Source organism: Homo sapiens, chromosome 7 (genome assembly GCF_000001405.40).
Source record: "Homo sapiens chromosome 7, GRCh38.p14 Primary Assembly".
In the NCBI taxonomy this organism is placed as follows: Eukaryota; Metazoa; Chordata; class Mammalia; order Primates; family Hominidae; genus Homo; species Homo sapiens.
The window spans coordinates 43,314,314-43,331,719 of NC_000007.14; the positions used below are offsets into that span (position 1 = coordinate 43,314,314).

At 45.0% G+C, this 17,406-nt stretch overlaps 1 protein-coding gene across 17 annotated transcripts in view; it reads left to right on the plus strand.

The window, feature by feature from the left end:
• The window catches only part of HECW1 (HECT, C2 and WW domain containing E3 ubiquitin protein ligase 1), a 453,355-nt gene that overhangs the window by 201,667 nt on the left and 234,282 nt on the right, over positions 1-17,406 (plus strand). For all 17 annotated transcript variants that reach the window (NM_015052.5, XM_017011883.3, NM_001287059.2 and 14 more), the window contains one exon: positions 6,322-6,429. In NM_015052.5, the coding sequence (NP_055867.3) occupies positions 6,322-6,429 (108 nt within the window). The remainder of the gene's footprint in view (positions 1-6,321; positions 6,430-17,406) is intronic.

Genomic DNA, 17,406 nt, shown 5'->3' on the forward strand with positions numbered 1-17,406 from the left:
CAGGGATCCGAGCTAGGGTTGTAGATTTGGGATAACAGACACCTTGGGGGTGGATAAGCTCACTCTAGTGTTGTGTATAGAAAGAGAGCACCAGATAGTCACAGTGAGAGGGGGCAGGGGAGAGGCAGACGAGGAACTCAAACAGAAGAAGAGGAGGTGGTGAAGGGGCAGGATAACCAGGAGACTAGAGAGAACAAAGAAGAGGGTAGTAGAGGAGGGGGTGGGTAGCCATATCAGGTATTACGAAACTCCATGAATGAATAAGATCTGGTGTTAACATGACATTTTGACTGAGACAAAAGTAACCACAACTTATCATCCTAGAACCTTAATTTGACAGTTTGTTATTCTCATTGTAGCTACACATATATAACTGTGAAGTTATGTAATGCAAAATGCCAACACTTTCAACGGCATAGCATTTCAAAAATAACTTCCAAATCCGAAATTGTCTGTGAATCTTAAAAGTCAATAATGTGTAAGTCCTTAGTAGCTTATCTTCCACATTTTCCGTGCTTTGCCAGAGATCAAATCAGAGATCTAGGCTGAGAAATGTAGAGATGGTGATTTCATCTCATCTGTCATTTCATGAATGAGGAGATGTCGAATCAGTGGCTCCCACAGTCACACAGCTGCCTCCCCTGGCTCAGGACTCATGCTGCCACAGGGGTAGCACAGCATTGTGGTGCAGTGTTGGGTATGGGCCATGGCACATCCGTGTGCCATCAAATGTCCAGCAGAGGCCAGGGTTGTGATGCTTTCAGCATGGTAGGACTTCTAGAGCTCTCAAAGCAAATAGGACTGTTCTGACATAAGAGGGGGAAGATACCTGGATGTAGAGGGTGAAGTGTGGCTGCTGATTTATGGAACCCAACTCTTGAAGAATTAAAGTTTTTCCTTTACATCAGGCACCCTATTAGAATCTAGAAGAGCAGAAGCTGTATAAGGCACAAACAGAATTCTTGTGTCCAAAGAAACAATATGAAGGAAAGGCCACAGAAGGGGAGAAAGTGGCATTGATTTTTAGGAGCTCCTCTATCACTTTATGCTTAGAGTTCCTGCTTCTGCAAGAGAATGGCGCTTCTACATCATTGGCCTAGTAGTAAGAAAGACAAGTAGATTCTCCCCATATCTCCCGTCCCATTATTATTGTTATTATTATTATTATTATTATTATTATCATTATTACTATTATTTTGAGATGGAATCTCGCTCTGTTGCCCAGGCTAGAGTACAATGGCACGATCCCAGCTCACTGCAACCTCCGCCTCCCAGGTTCAAGCGATTCTCCTGATTCAGCCTCTCAAGTAGCTGGGATTACAGGCATGCACCACCACCCCTGGCTAATTTTTCTATTTTTAGTAGAGATGGGGTTTCACCATGTTGGCCAGGCTGATCTCAAACTCCTGACCTCAGTTGATCCACCCACCTCGGCCTCCCAAACTCCTGGGATTACAGGCGTGATCCACCGCGCCTGGCCCTGTCCCATTATTTAGTGAAGTCATGGTCCAGCCACAGTGGGAGAATCCTGGGAGATTTTTTCCCAAGATTTGGTTGTCAGAAAGCATGAATTACTCTGAAAAATGGAAGCCATATCTTTTTTCTGATGGGTGTAGGAGACCTGGGTAGTATATTGATTCTCTCTTTTAATCAGTTATGGGCTCACTTGCTCATTCCACTCTTAACAGCAATAGCATGTTTGTTGTCCACTCTTCTATTATAGATTATGGCATGGAAATCATAGCTATGATTTTTATTTTGAAGACAAATCCAGAGAAAATATATTACTTGTTTCTTAGGTATGTCTGTTTCTGTAAGCTTTATTAGACCTTTCTGATTAAAATTATAATAATCCACAAAGATCCTTTCTCTATTATAAACTGAGGAGCAGGTGGTAGGATTCTACACACCAGAAGAAATGCATACCACTCAGAAAATGTAATCTTTTCCTGAGGAACTTTTCTGTACATGTTATGTACAAAATGTACGATGACAAAATCTTGAACAGTACTGATGTGAGCTAGTGCTTCAAGTTATTATTAATGGTTTTACATAGTAAGTGTCATAGGGATTTGCAATAGAGGGCCCTATTTTTGGCCCAGATTCTAAGCAGAAATAGCTGCTTATTAGATGTTGGACACTGGTCTAAGACCACTAGCTGTATTAGCTCAAGGAATCCTTTCAACAAGATTTTGAGGTAGGTACTTATAGTATTTATCCTCATTTTGTAGTGAGTGATTAAATAAACTGCCTAAGATCACATAATAATGGTAGATGTAAGCTTCCTGCCTCAAAGGGGATGTAATATTGCTCCCACAAAGAGGCTTCCATCATGACAAGAATGCAGAAAATAACAGCCTCCTGGTAGAGAGCCTAGAGCACCCATTCCACACTGAGGTGGAGAGTGTGGCTTGGCCCACAGCATCCATTCCAGTTCTCCTCTCCCCTCCCCTTTTCTCTCCTCCCCTCCCCTCCTCTCCTCTCCTCTCCCGTCCCGTCTCCTCCCCTCTACTCTCTTCTTTCCTCTCATCTCCTGTGCCTTCCCCTAGTGCAGAATCTGGTCCTCTAAATTTACATTTCCCAGACTCCCATGCAGCCATGTTCTGGATGCAAATTCGATTCATTTAGCTGCACCTGTGCAAGATCGGGAAGGTGAATATGTGAAATGTGGGGAAGCTTACATCTACCATTACTATGTGATCTTAGGCAGTTTATTTAATCATTCACTACAAAATAGGGATAAATACTATAAGCACCTACCTCAAAATCTTGTTGAAAGGATTCCTTGAGCTAATACAGCTAGTGGTCTTAGACCAGGCTCTTGGGCCTGTGGCTGCTACAAGCATGGCCTTGAGAAATGGAGCTTTTCTGCAGCAGCATCCTGTGTCTACTCTCTAGCTTCCTGGACACCAACAGGCAGTGGGGGTGGGGGCAGGCAGTGACCTACTCCGCTTGCCACTGGCTGGTCACTGTCTTCGCCGGTGGAGAGACAGCCGCCATGGCCTGGACAGCAGCCTCCTGCCCTCCAGATTGCAGTGACTGTACTGAGTTTTCATATTCAGCAGGTCCCAGGGCAGCCCTTGCGAGTGAGGCAAAGGCATCAGCCTCGTTGGAGAGCCAGTTAGGCAGTTATCCTGATTCCAGAGGCCCTGCCTAGAGTCCACTTCTCCAGCCCTGAATTCCCTGCATTAAATCCCTTTCTGCATAAAATATGTAGACTGATTTTGGATTTCTGCAGCTGACCCTGTCAATGCAGTTTGATTCCTAAGCAAAGACTAGTAACTTTTCTAACAACTGGTAACAAATGCCTTTGGGGAAGGGTTTGACCTCTCAGCCCAGGCAAGAATACTGACTACTCTATTTTTCTTGTGTGATACTTGTGATTAAGTGTTATTGTTAGTGTGAGGGAAGGGGATGCTTATCAGGACTAACAGCCAGTCCTTTAAAATATATTGTGTTTAAATGTGTACAGCAAAATATACTTTTTTCTCATTATTGTGTGTGTGTGTGTGTGTGTGTGTGTGTGTGTGTGTGTGTGTTTGCCATCCTCGTCATCCTTTGCTGATTCTTCCCACCTCCCCTTCATCCTTTTCTCATTCATGTTCCTGTGGTTCCTTGATAATTAACCCCCTTTTGTACATTCTATATTCTAATGAAATTACCTGTTTTCTTGAATAAATCTCCAAATATATTAGAAACTCCCTGAGAACATAGACCGTGACTTGTTCACCAGTGTATCCCCAGGGTTTAGCACTATGTCTGGAACAGAACAAAGTACCCAATACCCATTATCTCATGCATGAATGGACATCCTTCTTCCAGGTGTTATTGTCTATAAATCCCTGACCCTGACTATTAAAGGGAATATCCCAGTGATCAGAGTGGAGAAATTCGGGGAAATACTATCCCTTGGAGAACTGCTATAATGAGGCAAATTTCTACCTGGGTGTGAAACTTGTTATATCTCTGCTGAAGACCCAGGGAGCTAGGAAAATATTATGCCTTTTTGCAGAAATGAGGCAATTACTGTAAAAGATGTATTATGCAATCTTCATGGTAACCCAAACAGGGCTGTGAGCACACACTGTGAATAAAAAGACAGGCAAATTTTGCAAACAAGCGATTTTCCAAAGGATACAAACAGTTCTTATCGGTAATGAGTGTTCATTTGCCCAGTCATTTTTTTGCCAGAGAAGGGGCAGCCTAAAATGTGCAATCCACATAGCAGATTACAAGTAGGCTTACCAGTTATCTCATTTAGTGCTCCCCTGTAAGTACTCCCCACTTTGCAGATGAAGAAAGACTATAGAAGTGACACTATTGGCAAATGGCACAAAAGGCAAGAGCTGGGCCCTTTGGCTTCAAGCTCAGTGCTTTTTGCACTTCATCTCTTGTCTGTTTTCTCAGTCCAGCCAGATGCAGCATGTGAACTGCAGGGTGTCAGGAGAGAAAAGGGCAATCATGAAAAGGGCTCTCTGCAGAGCTGGGGCTCTGGGCCTGCCCTCAGGTGCCCTTGCCCAGGTTGTCCCTCCAGCCCCTACGGTGGATTTGGACTCTCAAAACTTGGTTTTCCCCACAGCCTCAGATCCACCTAGCTCAGATTATTTCTGGTGAAGTGGAAACTACAAGGGCTCCATAGAAGATCAAGGTGAAAGCCACATCCCTGTCTTAGTCTGCACTGAAAGTGTGGGGTCTGGAACCAAGGAGGTGACAGGCAGCTTGGTATTCTCAGATCTGTCCTCCTCAAGAATGCCGCATTTCTCTCCAGGCACTGGTTTTAAAGAGAACATCGGGCCGGGCGCGGTGGCTCACGCCTGTAATCCCAGCACTTTGGGAGGCCGAGGCGGGTGGATCATGAGGTCAGGAGATCGAGACCATCCTGGGTAACACGGTGAAACCCCGTCTCTACTAAAAATACAAAAAATTAGCCGGGCGCGGTGGCGGGCGCCTGTAGTCCCAGCTACTCGGGAGGCTGAGGCAGGAGAATGGCGTGAACCCGGGAAGCGGAGCTTGCAGTGAGCCGAGATTGCGCCACTGGAGTCCGCAGTCCGGCCTGGGCGACAGAGCGAGACTCCGTCTCAAAAAAAAAAAAAAAAGAGAGAACATCGATAGGTTGCAAAGTGATGAGCAGAGAACAGCAGGAGGTGAAAGCACACTGTCACCCAGAGCTCCTCCCAGGCCTCGTCTCCTCCCTCAGTGCTCTCCTGACCACCCGCCCCCCACCCGCCGGCCTCCTTCCTTGTCACTCTCTATCACAGCACCCTGTTCTTTTCCTTTCTTTTCTTTTCTTTTTTTTTTTTTTTTTTTTTTTTGTGAGACAGAGTCTCGCTATGTAAACAGGCTGGATATGATCTTGGTTCACTGCAAACTCCACCTCCTGGGTTCAAGCGATTCTCCTGCCTCAACCTCCCAAATAGCTGAGATTATAGGTGCCTGCCACCACGCCTGGCTAATTTTTGTAATTTTTTTTTTTTTTTTTGGTAGAGACAATGTTTCACCATGTTGGCCATGCTGGTCTCGAACTGCTGACCTCAGGTGATCTTCCCACCTCGGCCTCTCAAAGTGCTGGGATTACAGGTGTGAGCCACTGCACCCCGCCTCCTTTCCATCTCTTATCACAAGTTACAATCAAACATTTATTCCTTTGCTTAGTGTTTACAGTCTGTCTTCTCAATTGTTTGTAAGCTTTGGTTCAGAAGAGACCATACTGGTTTTGCCCAACACCACAGCCCCTGCACCTTCCCCAGCATCTGGCAGATGGTTAGATTTCAGCTGCTGAATGAACAATGAATGCATGAGTGCATGATGGATGGATGGATAAGTTCATGGGTGCGACCATGTATAGGATGGTGGTGATGCCCAGGTGGGAGGAGAGATGATTCGAAGTGGAGTCCGTGAGAACTAGACCCCAAAGGGAGATTTTTTCTTTATGTCTCGCCCTTAGGCTCAAATAGGGATCAGTTCATAGAAGCTTTAGGAGGAAGATTTTCACACTGAGCTTTCACACATAGAAAAGCTATTTAAAAGTGAAGTGAACCGCGATAGCAGTAATTATTTCTCTGTTTCTGGAGGTGTTCCAGAACCAGCTAGATGATCTCCTGCCAGCAGTGCTATGGGGTTGGGAGGCGATCCCGGCATAAAAAGCGTTTGGTCCCAATGGCGTCTTGGGGTGCTTCCTGCTCTCTGATTCTCTGGTTCCAGGTGCTTTTTCTTCTGTTGAGATGGAAGCAGCATTTGTATCCTTTGCTTTTCTTTTATTCCCCTAAATATGCTGTTGACTGATATGTTTCTCTGCTCTGCTTTCTTCCTCTGGGAATATAGATGAGGTCTTGTCCGAAAACTTTCTGGACTATAAAAACCGTGGAGTCAATGGTTCTCATCGGGGCCAGATCATCTGGAAGATCGATGCCAGCTCGTACTTTGTGGAACGTGAGTACCTTTACCATTCTTGTGGCTTGGCAGACATGGATGAAGCAGAATTCAACTGTTTCATTATTTGTTCCCGTTGCACTGCCTCCACTAAGAAATGGGCCCTCTAAAAGAGAGGTGTAGATTTAAAGAGATCCTTAAAAAGATGTTCAGTAGTAAGTGGTGAGGTCTAGGGCAGTTGGATAAAAGCCAGCCAACCAGCCCAGAGGGCTGCCCCTTTAATACCAAGAAAGAGTTGGTTCCTATTCATAAGCCTCTGGACTTGGGACCCTTTGGCTCAGGTCCCTTAACTTTCACTCCATGGCTCCTCCGGGGGCATCTCCAATGTGGCCATAGTTAGACCAGGTCTTCTCAACAGGCATCCTACCCTCCAGTTTTGCCTTTGCTTGACCAAATCCTTCAAGGCTTCCTGCCCATGGTCCCAGTCTGTCAGTGATTTTCCACATTTTGCTCTGACCTTTGGCTCTGGCCACAGCTCCCCCGGAGGGCTGTGAGACATTGGTACTACCAGCCTGTTTCTTTGATTTTTAATCTACTGACATTTCTGAATGTATAAACTTTCTATCATATATCTTATTTATATGTTTTCTAAAATTTTCTTCTGCCTTTGAAAATAAATCATTATCAGAGTTATGGCAGGCTTTTTTCATGGGTCCCCATACTGGTGTATTTCTCATTGCATGAGGAAATACCTAGGTGGGCTTCGTGTGTAGGTATTTCCTACATACGAAGCTCAGATTATGGGCTTGACATTTGCCAGCTGAGGGAATGCACAGCTTACCTTCAGTCCACAGCTCCTTCTCCTCCACTTGGGTATGGAGTGATTTCATGGACAAACTTCTTCATGCACTTTCTGGTTGTTAGCAGATGTTCATTCAATGTGGCATGTCAGAAAGGAAATGGAGTGATCTGTTATTCCGGCTATCCAGTTCTCAGAGAAAAAGATGCATGGCTAGGAATCTGAAGTTATCCATTGGCATTTGACTTGTGGTCCAGGAAAAACTATATCCTCAAGTATATTTTGCTTTCATTTTCATTCACTCTTATTTTCATTCACTCCCTTGACAAACATTTTTGTAAGACCTGCTGTATTTCAAGGACTATAGATGTGAAGATGAAAGTCCTGGTGTCTGTCTTTGAAGAAACTTATGGTATCCCCGCTCCCGGCAATGACACCAATAGCTCTTTCTTGTGTTGGCTCATGCAGAATGAATAGACAACGAGGAAATTTTTATGCTATCAGGGTGTAGAGGGAACATGATTTTGTAAGATATGGTTTCTGGCTCTTGTGTTTGAGATAGGCATAATAAAACTCCCAGCAAGAGAATTTCTTTTCTTTTTTTTGAGACGGAGTTTCGTTCTTGTTGCCCAGGCTGGAGTGCAATGGCACAATCTCGGCTCACTGCAACCTCCGCCTCCCGGGTTCAAGCGATTCTGCTGACTCAGCCTCCCGCGTAGCTGGGATTACAGGCACCTGCCACCATTTTTTGTATTTTTAGTAGAGATGGGGTTTCAGAATGCTAGCCAGGCTGGTCTCGAACTCCTGACCTCAGGCAATCCACCTGCCTTGGCCTCCCAAAGTGCTGGGATTACAGGCGTGAGCCACCGCACCTGGCCAGAATTTCTTTTCTTTACTTATCTCCCTGGCTCTGGCTTTTCTCCTCTCTAATCCATGCCAGGCAAAATCCCTTAAACCCAATTTTGCTACCATCTGCCCCAAAGCTCCATGGATCCTCTTTCCTATTGCATCAGCTGCAATCTCTCTGCTCAGCTGCCAAGCCCCAACATAAACTCGCCCTCAGCCCACAGCCCTACTTCTCCATCCTCCCCAGCAGACACCCTTCACCCTGGTCATGTTGACCTCTCCCATTACCTAACAAATAGCATCATTCAGCATAGGAAATATGGGCTTATTTGGGGTGTAAAGATGGCTCCAGCAAGTGGTACCTGATATAAACCTCCTAAAGTTCAAGAAGAATGGAAAGGATACAAACTTGCATGAGTAGTGATTGTTAGACATAATACTCGAATGTGTGCACAAACCTACAATGGAAGTTTGGTAAGAGAGGTTTTTCTCTCTCACCATGCACCAATTTTTTCCCTTTGGCCTCTAATTAATTGAGAAATAGACATAAGAACCCATTTTAAGGTCACAGTAAAGTAGCAGTTCTCAATGGTGCTGGCACAAACACAACTTGAAAGTTTTTATCTTTTTTAAGTCCAGAAGATAAATATTAAGGAAGAGGAAATCCTAGGTGGGAATTTCAATATACCTGACTCAGATTCAAAGGGCAGTGACCACATCCCATAAAGCCACATCTCTTCTACACTTTGATACTATATGATCTCCTGACTATCTCCTCATTTGCATGGCCCAACACACCAAAAAATGGGGAATTTGTGTTGTAAATTAATCCAGCCCTAGTGCCATTCTCTTCAAAGCAGTTTTGAAAGATTTCTGTAACATATATAGAACATTTCTTGTATATTTATTCCAAATAACCACTTCATATAATTGTCCTCATGGGCAGTATGAAAACACACTTTAAGTATTATTAGAAATACATTATAGGCCGGGCAAGGTAGCTCACACCTGTAATCCCAGCTTTGGGAGGCCAGGGCAGGCAGATTGCTTGAGCCCAGGAGTTCGAGACCAACCTGGGCAATGTGGAAAAACCCCATCTCTGCAGAAAATTAGTCACGTATGATGATGTATGCCTGTAGTCGCAGCTACTTGGGAGGCTGCGGTGGAAGCATCACCTGTACCGTGGAAGTTGAGGCTGCAGTGAGCTATGATAGTGCCACTAAACTCTAGCCTGGCCACTGAACTCCAGCCTGGGCGGCAGAATGAGACCCTGTCTCATAAAACAAACACAACAACAACGACAAAAATACATTATAATATAAAACCATCTCTTTATAATACATAAACATTGGCATAATGGAATGAAAGCATATTCAAACTTGGTCAAGCAGCAGCATCCTATAAAAAACAAATGGCTTGACCGTGCGCGGTGACTCATGCCTATAATCCCAGCACTTTGGGAGGCCTAGGTAGGGGGATCACCCGAGGTTAGAAGTTCAACCTAGGGTTTCACCCTGGCCCATATGGTGAAACCCCATCTCTGCTAAAATACAAAAATTAGCCAGGCACGGTGGCATGAGCCTGTAGTCCCAGCTACTCAGGAGGCTGAGGCAGGAGAATCTCTTGAACCAGGGAGGCGGAGGTTGCAGTGAGCCGAGATCGCACCATTGCACTCCAGTTTGGGCGACAAGAGTGAAACTCTATCTCAAAAAAGAAAAAAAAAGGCTTGCAGAAGGCATATTCCAAATAACTGAAAGTTGAACACTTTAGATAATGACATTGTAAAATGTTTTTGTGCAGACTTGAGAAGATGTTGGTCCACAATATACCTGTTGGACTAGCAATGTCCCAGTGTTTTGGGAATATCAATGAAAGTGCAATGGGAAAGGCAGGTACTTACATTTTGCAAATATATCAAACTAATGTAGTATAATTTGTCAAAAAGTAAAAATTTATTGAGACAAAGCTTCAGTTTGCAAATGATTAGAGTATTAACTCAAGGCACATATATTAATATAAATAAAATAAGATGCTATAATGAATTATAGCTTTAGGGATCTGAATGCATTAAAATTGTATATAAGATGCTATATAAATTTACATGTTATGTGAAATAATTAGTGCTTTCAAAAATGTATGATTGAGAGGTGCCAAATTAACAAGTAGGGAGAGATTGGCTCTACGAAACGTTCTCATATGGCTATCCTTCCCTAACACATCCAAGCATCAAAGCTCTCTTGCTATAATAAAAATGCAGAATCCCAGCCATGATCCAAAGGGTTACAGAAGCTTCTATTATGAACTAAAAATAAGACTCTTTGCAGTCTCCCGGCAGTAATAAACACAATTAATCTAATTGGTAAATTATACTCTCTTAAAATTAAAAATAATTTTGTAAACATTAAAAATTGGCCAGATTTTAAACATTGAAGTACAACAGAAGCTCATTCTTTCTACCTGGGGATTAAATTAACATAATAAAATAAAATGAGGTGTACCTTTTATTTTGGTTTTTATTTTTCCCTTTATTTTTTCCTTTTGTTATTTCTTTTTATGAGATTGGATGTATATTGCAGATGACCTGGAGTCTGCAGGGTTCTAATAGCACTTTTCTTTGGGGATAATGATTCAATTTAGAAGTAGGTAATTGCTATTGATTTATACAATTTTTAATGGTCTGACTAAATCTGATTTTGAAAGTACCATCAAATTAGGAATATTTTAAACAAATATTTTCTGCACTCTCCAAGGAGTAACATACCTGATAAAAATACTAAAGAAAATAAAGCCTGAATCATTTCTTATTCTCTGGCATAATTTTTCTCCAGTGGGCACCTGGCTATTTGACCATAGTGTCAATGGCTATAACATGAGAACTCTAAAGATACAAACTTGAACACTGACAGAAGACAGAACTGGTGAAATCTTAAGTTGACCCATCCTATAAAGTCATATGATACTGTATTATTGTAGTAACTCAATTATCATTTTTTAATACATGCATTTGGGCTCCGCTGGCCCATTCAGACCTTCAGAGGGAGCTAGCACAGTCCTTGTTCATTGTGTATTTTGTCAGAATCCTTCCAAGTCAGGGCTTGGATTGCCCCAGAACACTGAGATGAGGTGATCCTGAAAAGAAGGTATCCTGTCTTGATCTCTGGCCAAGATCTGCTCTGTGTACCTCCTTGTTCATCCAATTTTAGTAGGAAGAACTGGGCAGTGTGTCTGGACTGACCTCTGATTACAGCAAAAAGAGACCACTGCCAAAGGGGCTGCCCTTCTCCCCCGCCCTTGTGTTGTCGTCACTGTCGTAGGCACCGCCTCCTCACAGCTGTCCAGGCATAAATGAGAAATCAGGAGTCATTTTCAACCTCCGTGCCTTGCCCTAGTGTCCTGCCCCCGCCAGTCAGCACCACTCATCCCGGATCCCACCTCACCTCCCGGGTCAGTCTTAGGCTCGGCCTGTCTTGCCCCTCGTTTCCTCGTGTGGAAACCTGGCTGGATGCACACCCAGATTGCTGCACGCTGTGGTCTCATCATTCCCTGCACCCATCAGAAGAACGCCCCTCAACCTTTTTAGCACCTCATTTTAAAATCCTTTTCCATCATGCCATCTGTCTCAGTCCGTTGAGGCTGTTATAACAAAATACCTTACACTGGGGAATTCATAAATAATAGAAATTTATTTCTCACCATTCTAAAGGCTGGGAAGTCCATGATCACAGTGCCAACAGATTCTGCTTCTGCTGAGGGCCTGCTCAGCTTCAAAGACAGTGCCCTCTTGCTGTTTCTGCGTAGGACCAGAGGGGCCAAAGGGGCTGGGGTGCCCCTTCAACCTCTCTTACAAGGGCATTAATCCCATTTAAATCATCATCCCATATTTTAAAAACACACAGGGGCTCCTGATGATACATAACAGAAAATCTAAGCAGCCAACCTTACTGACAGTTTGTAATGACTCCCCCCTTGACCATGGTGAGGTGAACCTCACACAGGTAGGGGCTGTCGGGATCTGCCTCCTCACTCTGGGCTTCAGCCAGTGGCTTCTAAGCCAGAGGCAGCATGATGGCCACGGTGACTTGGGGCTCAACCCCACGCCCAGGGAGGCCCTCTGGACTCTGAGATTCTGTTTCTTCATCTATAAAATGAAAGTGATATATGTCCTCCACAAGGCGGCCCCATGAAGATGACCTGAAAAAACTCAGGAGAAGTGCCCAGCCATGTGTCAGGGACAGTAAGAGCTCAGTCAACACCAGACCCCCTGCCATAATTAGAGGGCTGTGAATTAGGAATTACAGGTGTCACTCTGAGAGGAAACAGGGCAGGATCGTACATCCACCTTTTATTTCTGCTCTGGAAATGAACATATTGGTGTCTTGGTGACAATTGAGACATGAATGGCTTTATGCTGAGAGTTTTCTGTGGGGAAACCCTCTGCTCTGCAGCCAAAGCTGGAGACCAAAGGGCACTGGAGGAAAAGCAGGGCTCCAGGGGAGCCGGTGGCCTTCTCTCCCTTGACATTCAGAGCAATGTTTCCCTGCGGCGAAGCAGCCAGAGCCAGAACAAGCTCGCTGGGACCAGAGGCACCAGCACCAAGACTAGACACAGGGGCTTCATCAGGCCACAGTCCAGATGGTTAAGGTGACATGTTGTTAGAGCCTTTTATTTCAACTTGGGCATGTTTTCACCAGGACTGCTCTGCCTTTAGAGCCAGTGTGGCTAAGGACTGCACCGCGGGCTGCCATTTTCAATCACTGTTGTGTTATTTCCAAGGAGATGTCTCAATCTGTGCTACAATAAATACTTGGGCCATAGGCGCTAAGCCCTTAAGAAGGTTAAGTCTACATGAGGAGACTGAACCCCACCTGTGCAACGTAAAGGTGTGATCATTGCACTGCTTCACAGGTTTTCTGTTAGGAAAAAGTATGACTCCATATACATATCTGCAAGATAATAGGCGTATTTATATTATTGTGCCATCTGATTTTTTTATAGAGCTCCGTGGAAACCAAGACTCCCCCCACCGCTGCCCACCCACTTTAGCACTACGCTAAATTGAAATCATGGTTAAAATTGCACTGTGTAACGGTCGTGAAGTAATTCGTGTTGCTTATATTCTTACTTGTGTTTCTTAAATTTTAGGAAAATAATATAGAGTTCACAGTGATACTCCTGAAATTCTTTTTATCCTTTCACCACACAATTAATTCCCCTCCCTGCTGTCCCTACCACCTAAACTTCTCCATAAACCTACCTCTGGTTATACCTCGTACTCATGTTGGTCTTCCCTTCGTTATTTCCTTCCAGTTTTGCTTTAAAATCCCAAAAGAATTAATCTTGCTAGAGAGGCATCCCCTGGGTAGAGGAAGGAGCCCAAGCTACCAAGTCCATAGGCACTCTCTAGCAGCCCCAAGTGAAAGGGTTGGAAATATTCATACAGTGATAATTTTGTCCCTTTGAGGTTATCATGCATCATGTGATATCATATATTAGATATTATGCATCCTGTGTGCTAATGGGATGTAGAAAGAACATAATAGTGATTAAAGAGCAAGATTAAAGGCACGGCAGGGTGGAGCTGAGAAGTACAGGAAAGATAAGTGCTTAGACTTTATGTAGTCTATGAACCATTTATATTATTATTATTATTATTATTATTATTATCATTATTATTTTAGTTTTAGGATGACATGATAAAACGGATTTGGGGCCAGGCATAGTGGCTCACACCTATAATCGTAGCATTTTGGGAGGAAGTGGCGGAAGGATCACTAGAGCCCAGGAGCTCAAGACCAGCCTGGGCAACAAAGTGAGACCTCCATCTCTACAAAAAATAAAAATTTAAAAATGTTAGCTCTGTTTGGTGGCATGCACCAGTAGACCCAGCTACTTGGGAAGCTGAGATGGGAGAATCACTTGAGCTGGGGAGGTCTGCAGTCTAGCCTGAGCTATGGAGCAAGACCTTGTCTCAAATTAAAAACAAAAAACAAAAAACAAAAAAAACAAGGGTTTGTGACTATTCGTGCAAGGCAACTTCAGGGAAACATATCCACCTTCAGCAATCCCAGTCAAGGCCTGCAACATGGGACACAGAAGAAGCAGTGAACTAGAGGGGCTGCGGTTGCTGCTGGTCCCTGTCTGAACTGCATGGGGCTGCCAGAGGCCAATCTGACTGAACACGGCCAATGAGACAATGGCGTGTGGCAGTGGAGGGCCCAGCCCACGTGGGAAGACAAGACGCAGGCGTGCAGTCACTTCTCAGCACATCAAGGATTCCATTGCATCTGGGGGACATCAAAATTGACCTGCAGTGCATGGAGGTCTCAGTCCCTCAGATTAAATAACAAAGCATGACTGAGCGTTATTACAGAAAACAGCCAGAAAGATATAACCGGAACATTCCATTCAGATTCGCAGCAATACAAAACGATGGTGCCGGCTTCCAGTCAGATACATGTCAGATCTTCCCAATGAGAAGAAAACACTCAATCGACATAAATAAAGGGTCAAGGCCCTATTAACCCAAAGTCACACTTTTCTGGATTAACCTTAAGTTGCCAAGTCGGTGTGAGAACATAACAGATACAGCTGTCTCTCTTAGCCCTATTGTGCTGGAGGCCTGCTGGGGATCGTGCTGGTCTCCAGGGGCTCAGATCTAGACATGCAGGCTCCGTCCCTGCATGCCAAGGTTCTGGCATTACACTGGGGAGACAAGCATGTACTTCTTTTTGTGCTTTGTGTGAAATAGTAAGAGGAGGAGCCCTAGCCTGACCTTGGGGCAAAGACCTAATCACCTCCAAGTTACAGGAACTCGGCCAGTTGGGAAGGAAGGTCTGGGCTCAGGGCCAAGTGGCATACAGGGGTGGGAAGGGGTGAGGCTGGGGTAGGTGAGACAGAATTGGAAAAGAAACATTCCAGGGAAGGAGCCCAGGGTCAGAGGTTCTAGGCAGTTTAGACATATGCCTGCAGAGCACACAGAGCTATGCAAATGCTTTAAGTAGAAAAAGCATTCCGATTAGGCTTGCATTCTAGAAACTGCATTCTGGCAGAAGTGTGGCGAGAAGACTGTAAGGTGCTGATATTAGAGGCTTGAGACCACCAAGAAACTATGGCATAAAAACAGGTGAGAAACAAAGAACACCTGGAATGAGAAAAATGGAAGGGGCTGATTCAGAAAGAGGCTTAGGAGGTAAGATCAACATGGCTTGGTGAGGAACTGGATGTGTGCCTGGGGAGAGGAAAGGGGCAGAAGGAGAATCAGCTGCCTCTACGGCACATCATCCAAGACTGAGGGGTCAGAAAGGGGGCGAGTTTGGGGATTGAAGACACCAAGTTCAGGCTGAAGTGTCTGTGGGCTGGAAAGATGCAGCACACAGTTGCCCGGACACGGCGTGCTAAGGAGAAGAACCCGGCTTTGAAACAGAGATGGGAAAGGAACAAGCAACTGCTGTGTGAAGTGAGGGTGTGAAGGACTTTGTGTAGGGGGAGTGTAAAGTAGTGTTTCTCAAAGTGTAGCCTGCTGAAAATTGCAAGGCAGTCGTTTACCCAGGGTGGTTATTAGAAATGCAGATTCCATAGGCAAGAGCCTTTCTTTTTAATAAGCATGCCATGTTATTCTGATATGCCTGTAAATGTGAAGATGACTGATACAGACTGTGAGAAGAGGAGAGTTGAGGACGGAATTCCATCGAGGAGCAAGAGGAAGAAGAAGAGAAAGAGAGATCATGGAGTTAGGCAGGTTAAGGGTGGCCATAAATTCCCTGATGCTCCTCCTATTGAGAGGCGGGGTCCATGTCGCCTCCCCTTGAGCCTGGGTGGGTGCTGTGACCTGGGCTGGTTTCCAAACTAAAGTACCAACTTCCAGCCTAGGCCTCAAGATATTGGAAGCTTCCACTTCCTCCCTCCTGGGACACTCACTCTTAAAGCCCTGAGACAGCTGGGCTGGGAGAAGCCCTGGCTAGCTGTGTTCGGGGCTGTGTGACAAGAGCATGCTGGCAGGCCCAGAGTTTCCAGCCATCCTCAACCAGGCAAGAGGCCACATCATACGTCTAGCCCTAGCTGCTGTCAATGGCAACAGCATGTGAGATCCGCAGGAGAACTGCCATGCTGAGCCCACACCTCACAGAACTTTGAGAGATAATAAGAGGGTGCTGCTGAAGCTGTCAAGTTTTTGGTTTGATGATTATACAGCCATAGTAACCAGAGCACCAGAGAAACCATCAAGAGCAAGGCCCTGGAAGTCAAGGGAGGAGAAACCATCAAGGATGTCATCAATATGACCTGCTGAGCGCCACAGAGTCACAGAAGATACAGAAGTCACCTGTGGAGGGTGGCCATGTGGGGGCTATGGGCTTTGTCTAAATAGTTCGAGGAGTTGGTGAGAAAGACTGTAGGCTGAAAGGTATAGAGTGACTGGTTCATCCTGGTTTGCTGGAACTCTCCTGGTTTGGGCCCTAATAGTTCTGTGTCCCAGGAAAAAGCTCAGGCGTGAACATGCTGGAGTGGTTGGTGACCCTCTGGTGAGTCTGCACTGATAAAGAAGAGGCCAGGGGAATACAGCAGTCCTGTGGGATGGCTGGCAATGACAGTGGCTCTGAGAAGGTAACCAAATGAGGAATAAAATCAAAGGGAAGTCTTTTATTTATTTATTTATTTATTTATTTTATTTTTTTATATACTTTAAGTCCTAGGGTACATGTGCACAACGTGCAGGTTTGTTACATACGTATACATGTGCCATGTTGGTGTGCTGCACCCATTAACTCGTCGTTTACATTAGGTATATCTCCTGATGCTATCCCTCCCCACTCCCCCCACCCCACGACAGGCCCCCGTGTGTGATGTTCCCCACCCTGTGTCCAAGTGTTCCCATTGTTCAATTCCCACCTATGAGTGAGAACATGTGGTGTTTGGTTTTCTGTCCTTGCGATAGTTTGCTCAGAATGATGGTTTCTAGCTTCATCCATGTAAGATCGGGGTGGGGCCAGGCACAGTGGCTCACACCTGTAATCCCAGCACTTTGGGAGGCTGAGGCGGGCGGATCACAAGGTCAGGAGATCGAGACCATCCTGGCTAACATGGTGAAACCCCATCTCTACTAAAAAAAATACAAAAAATTAGCCGGACGTGGTGGTGGGTGCCTATAGTCCCAGCTACTCGGGAGGCTGAGGCTGGAGAATGGCGTGAACCCAGGAGGTGGAGTTTGCAGTGAGCCGAGATTGCGCCACTGCACTCCAGCCTGGGCGACAGAGCAAGACTCTGTCTCAAAAAAAAAAAAAAGATCAGGGTGAGCTTGCACATGTTTATAGACTGAGTGGAATAGGCCATAAAAATAGGGACTCTCATTAACTTAGTGCTTACAGGTATCAACGTTCTTGGCAAGGATGTTACCA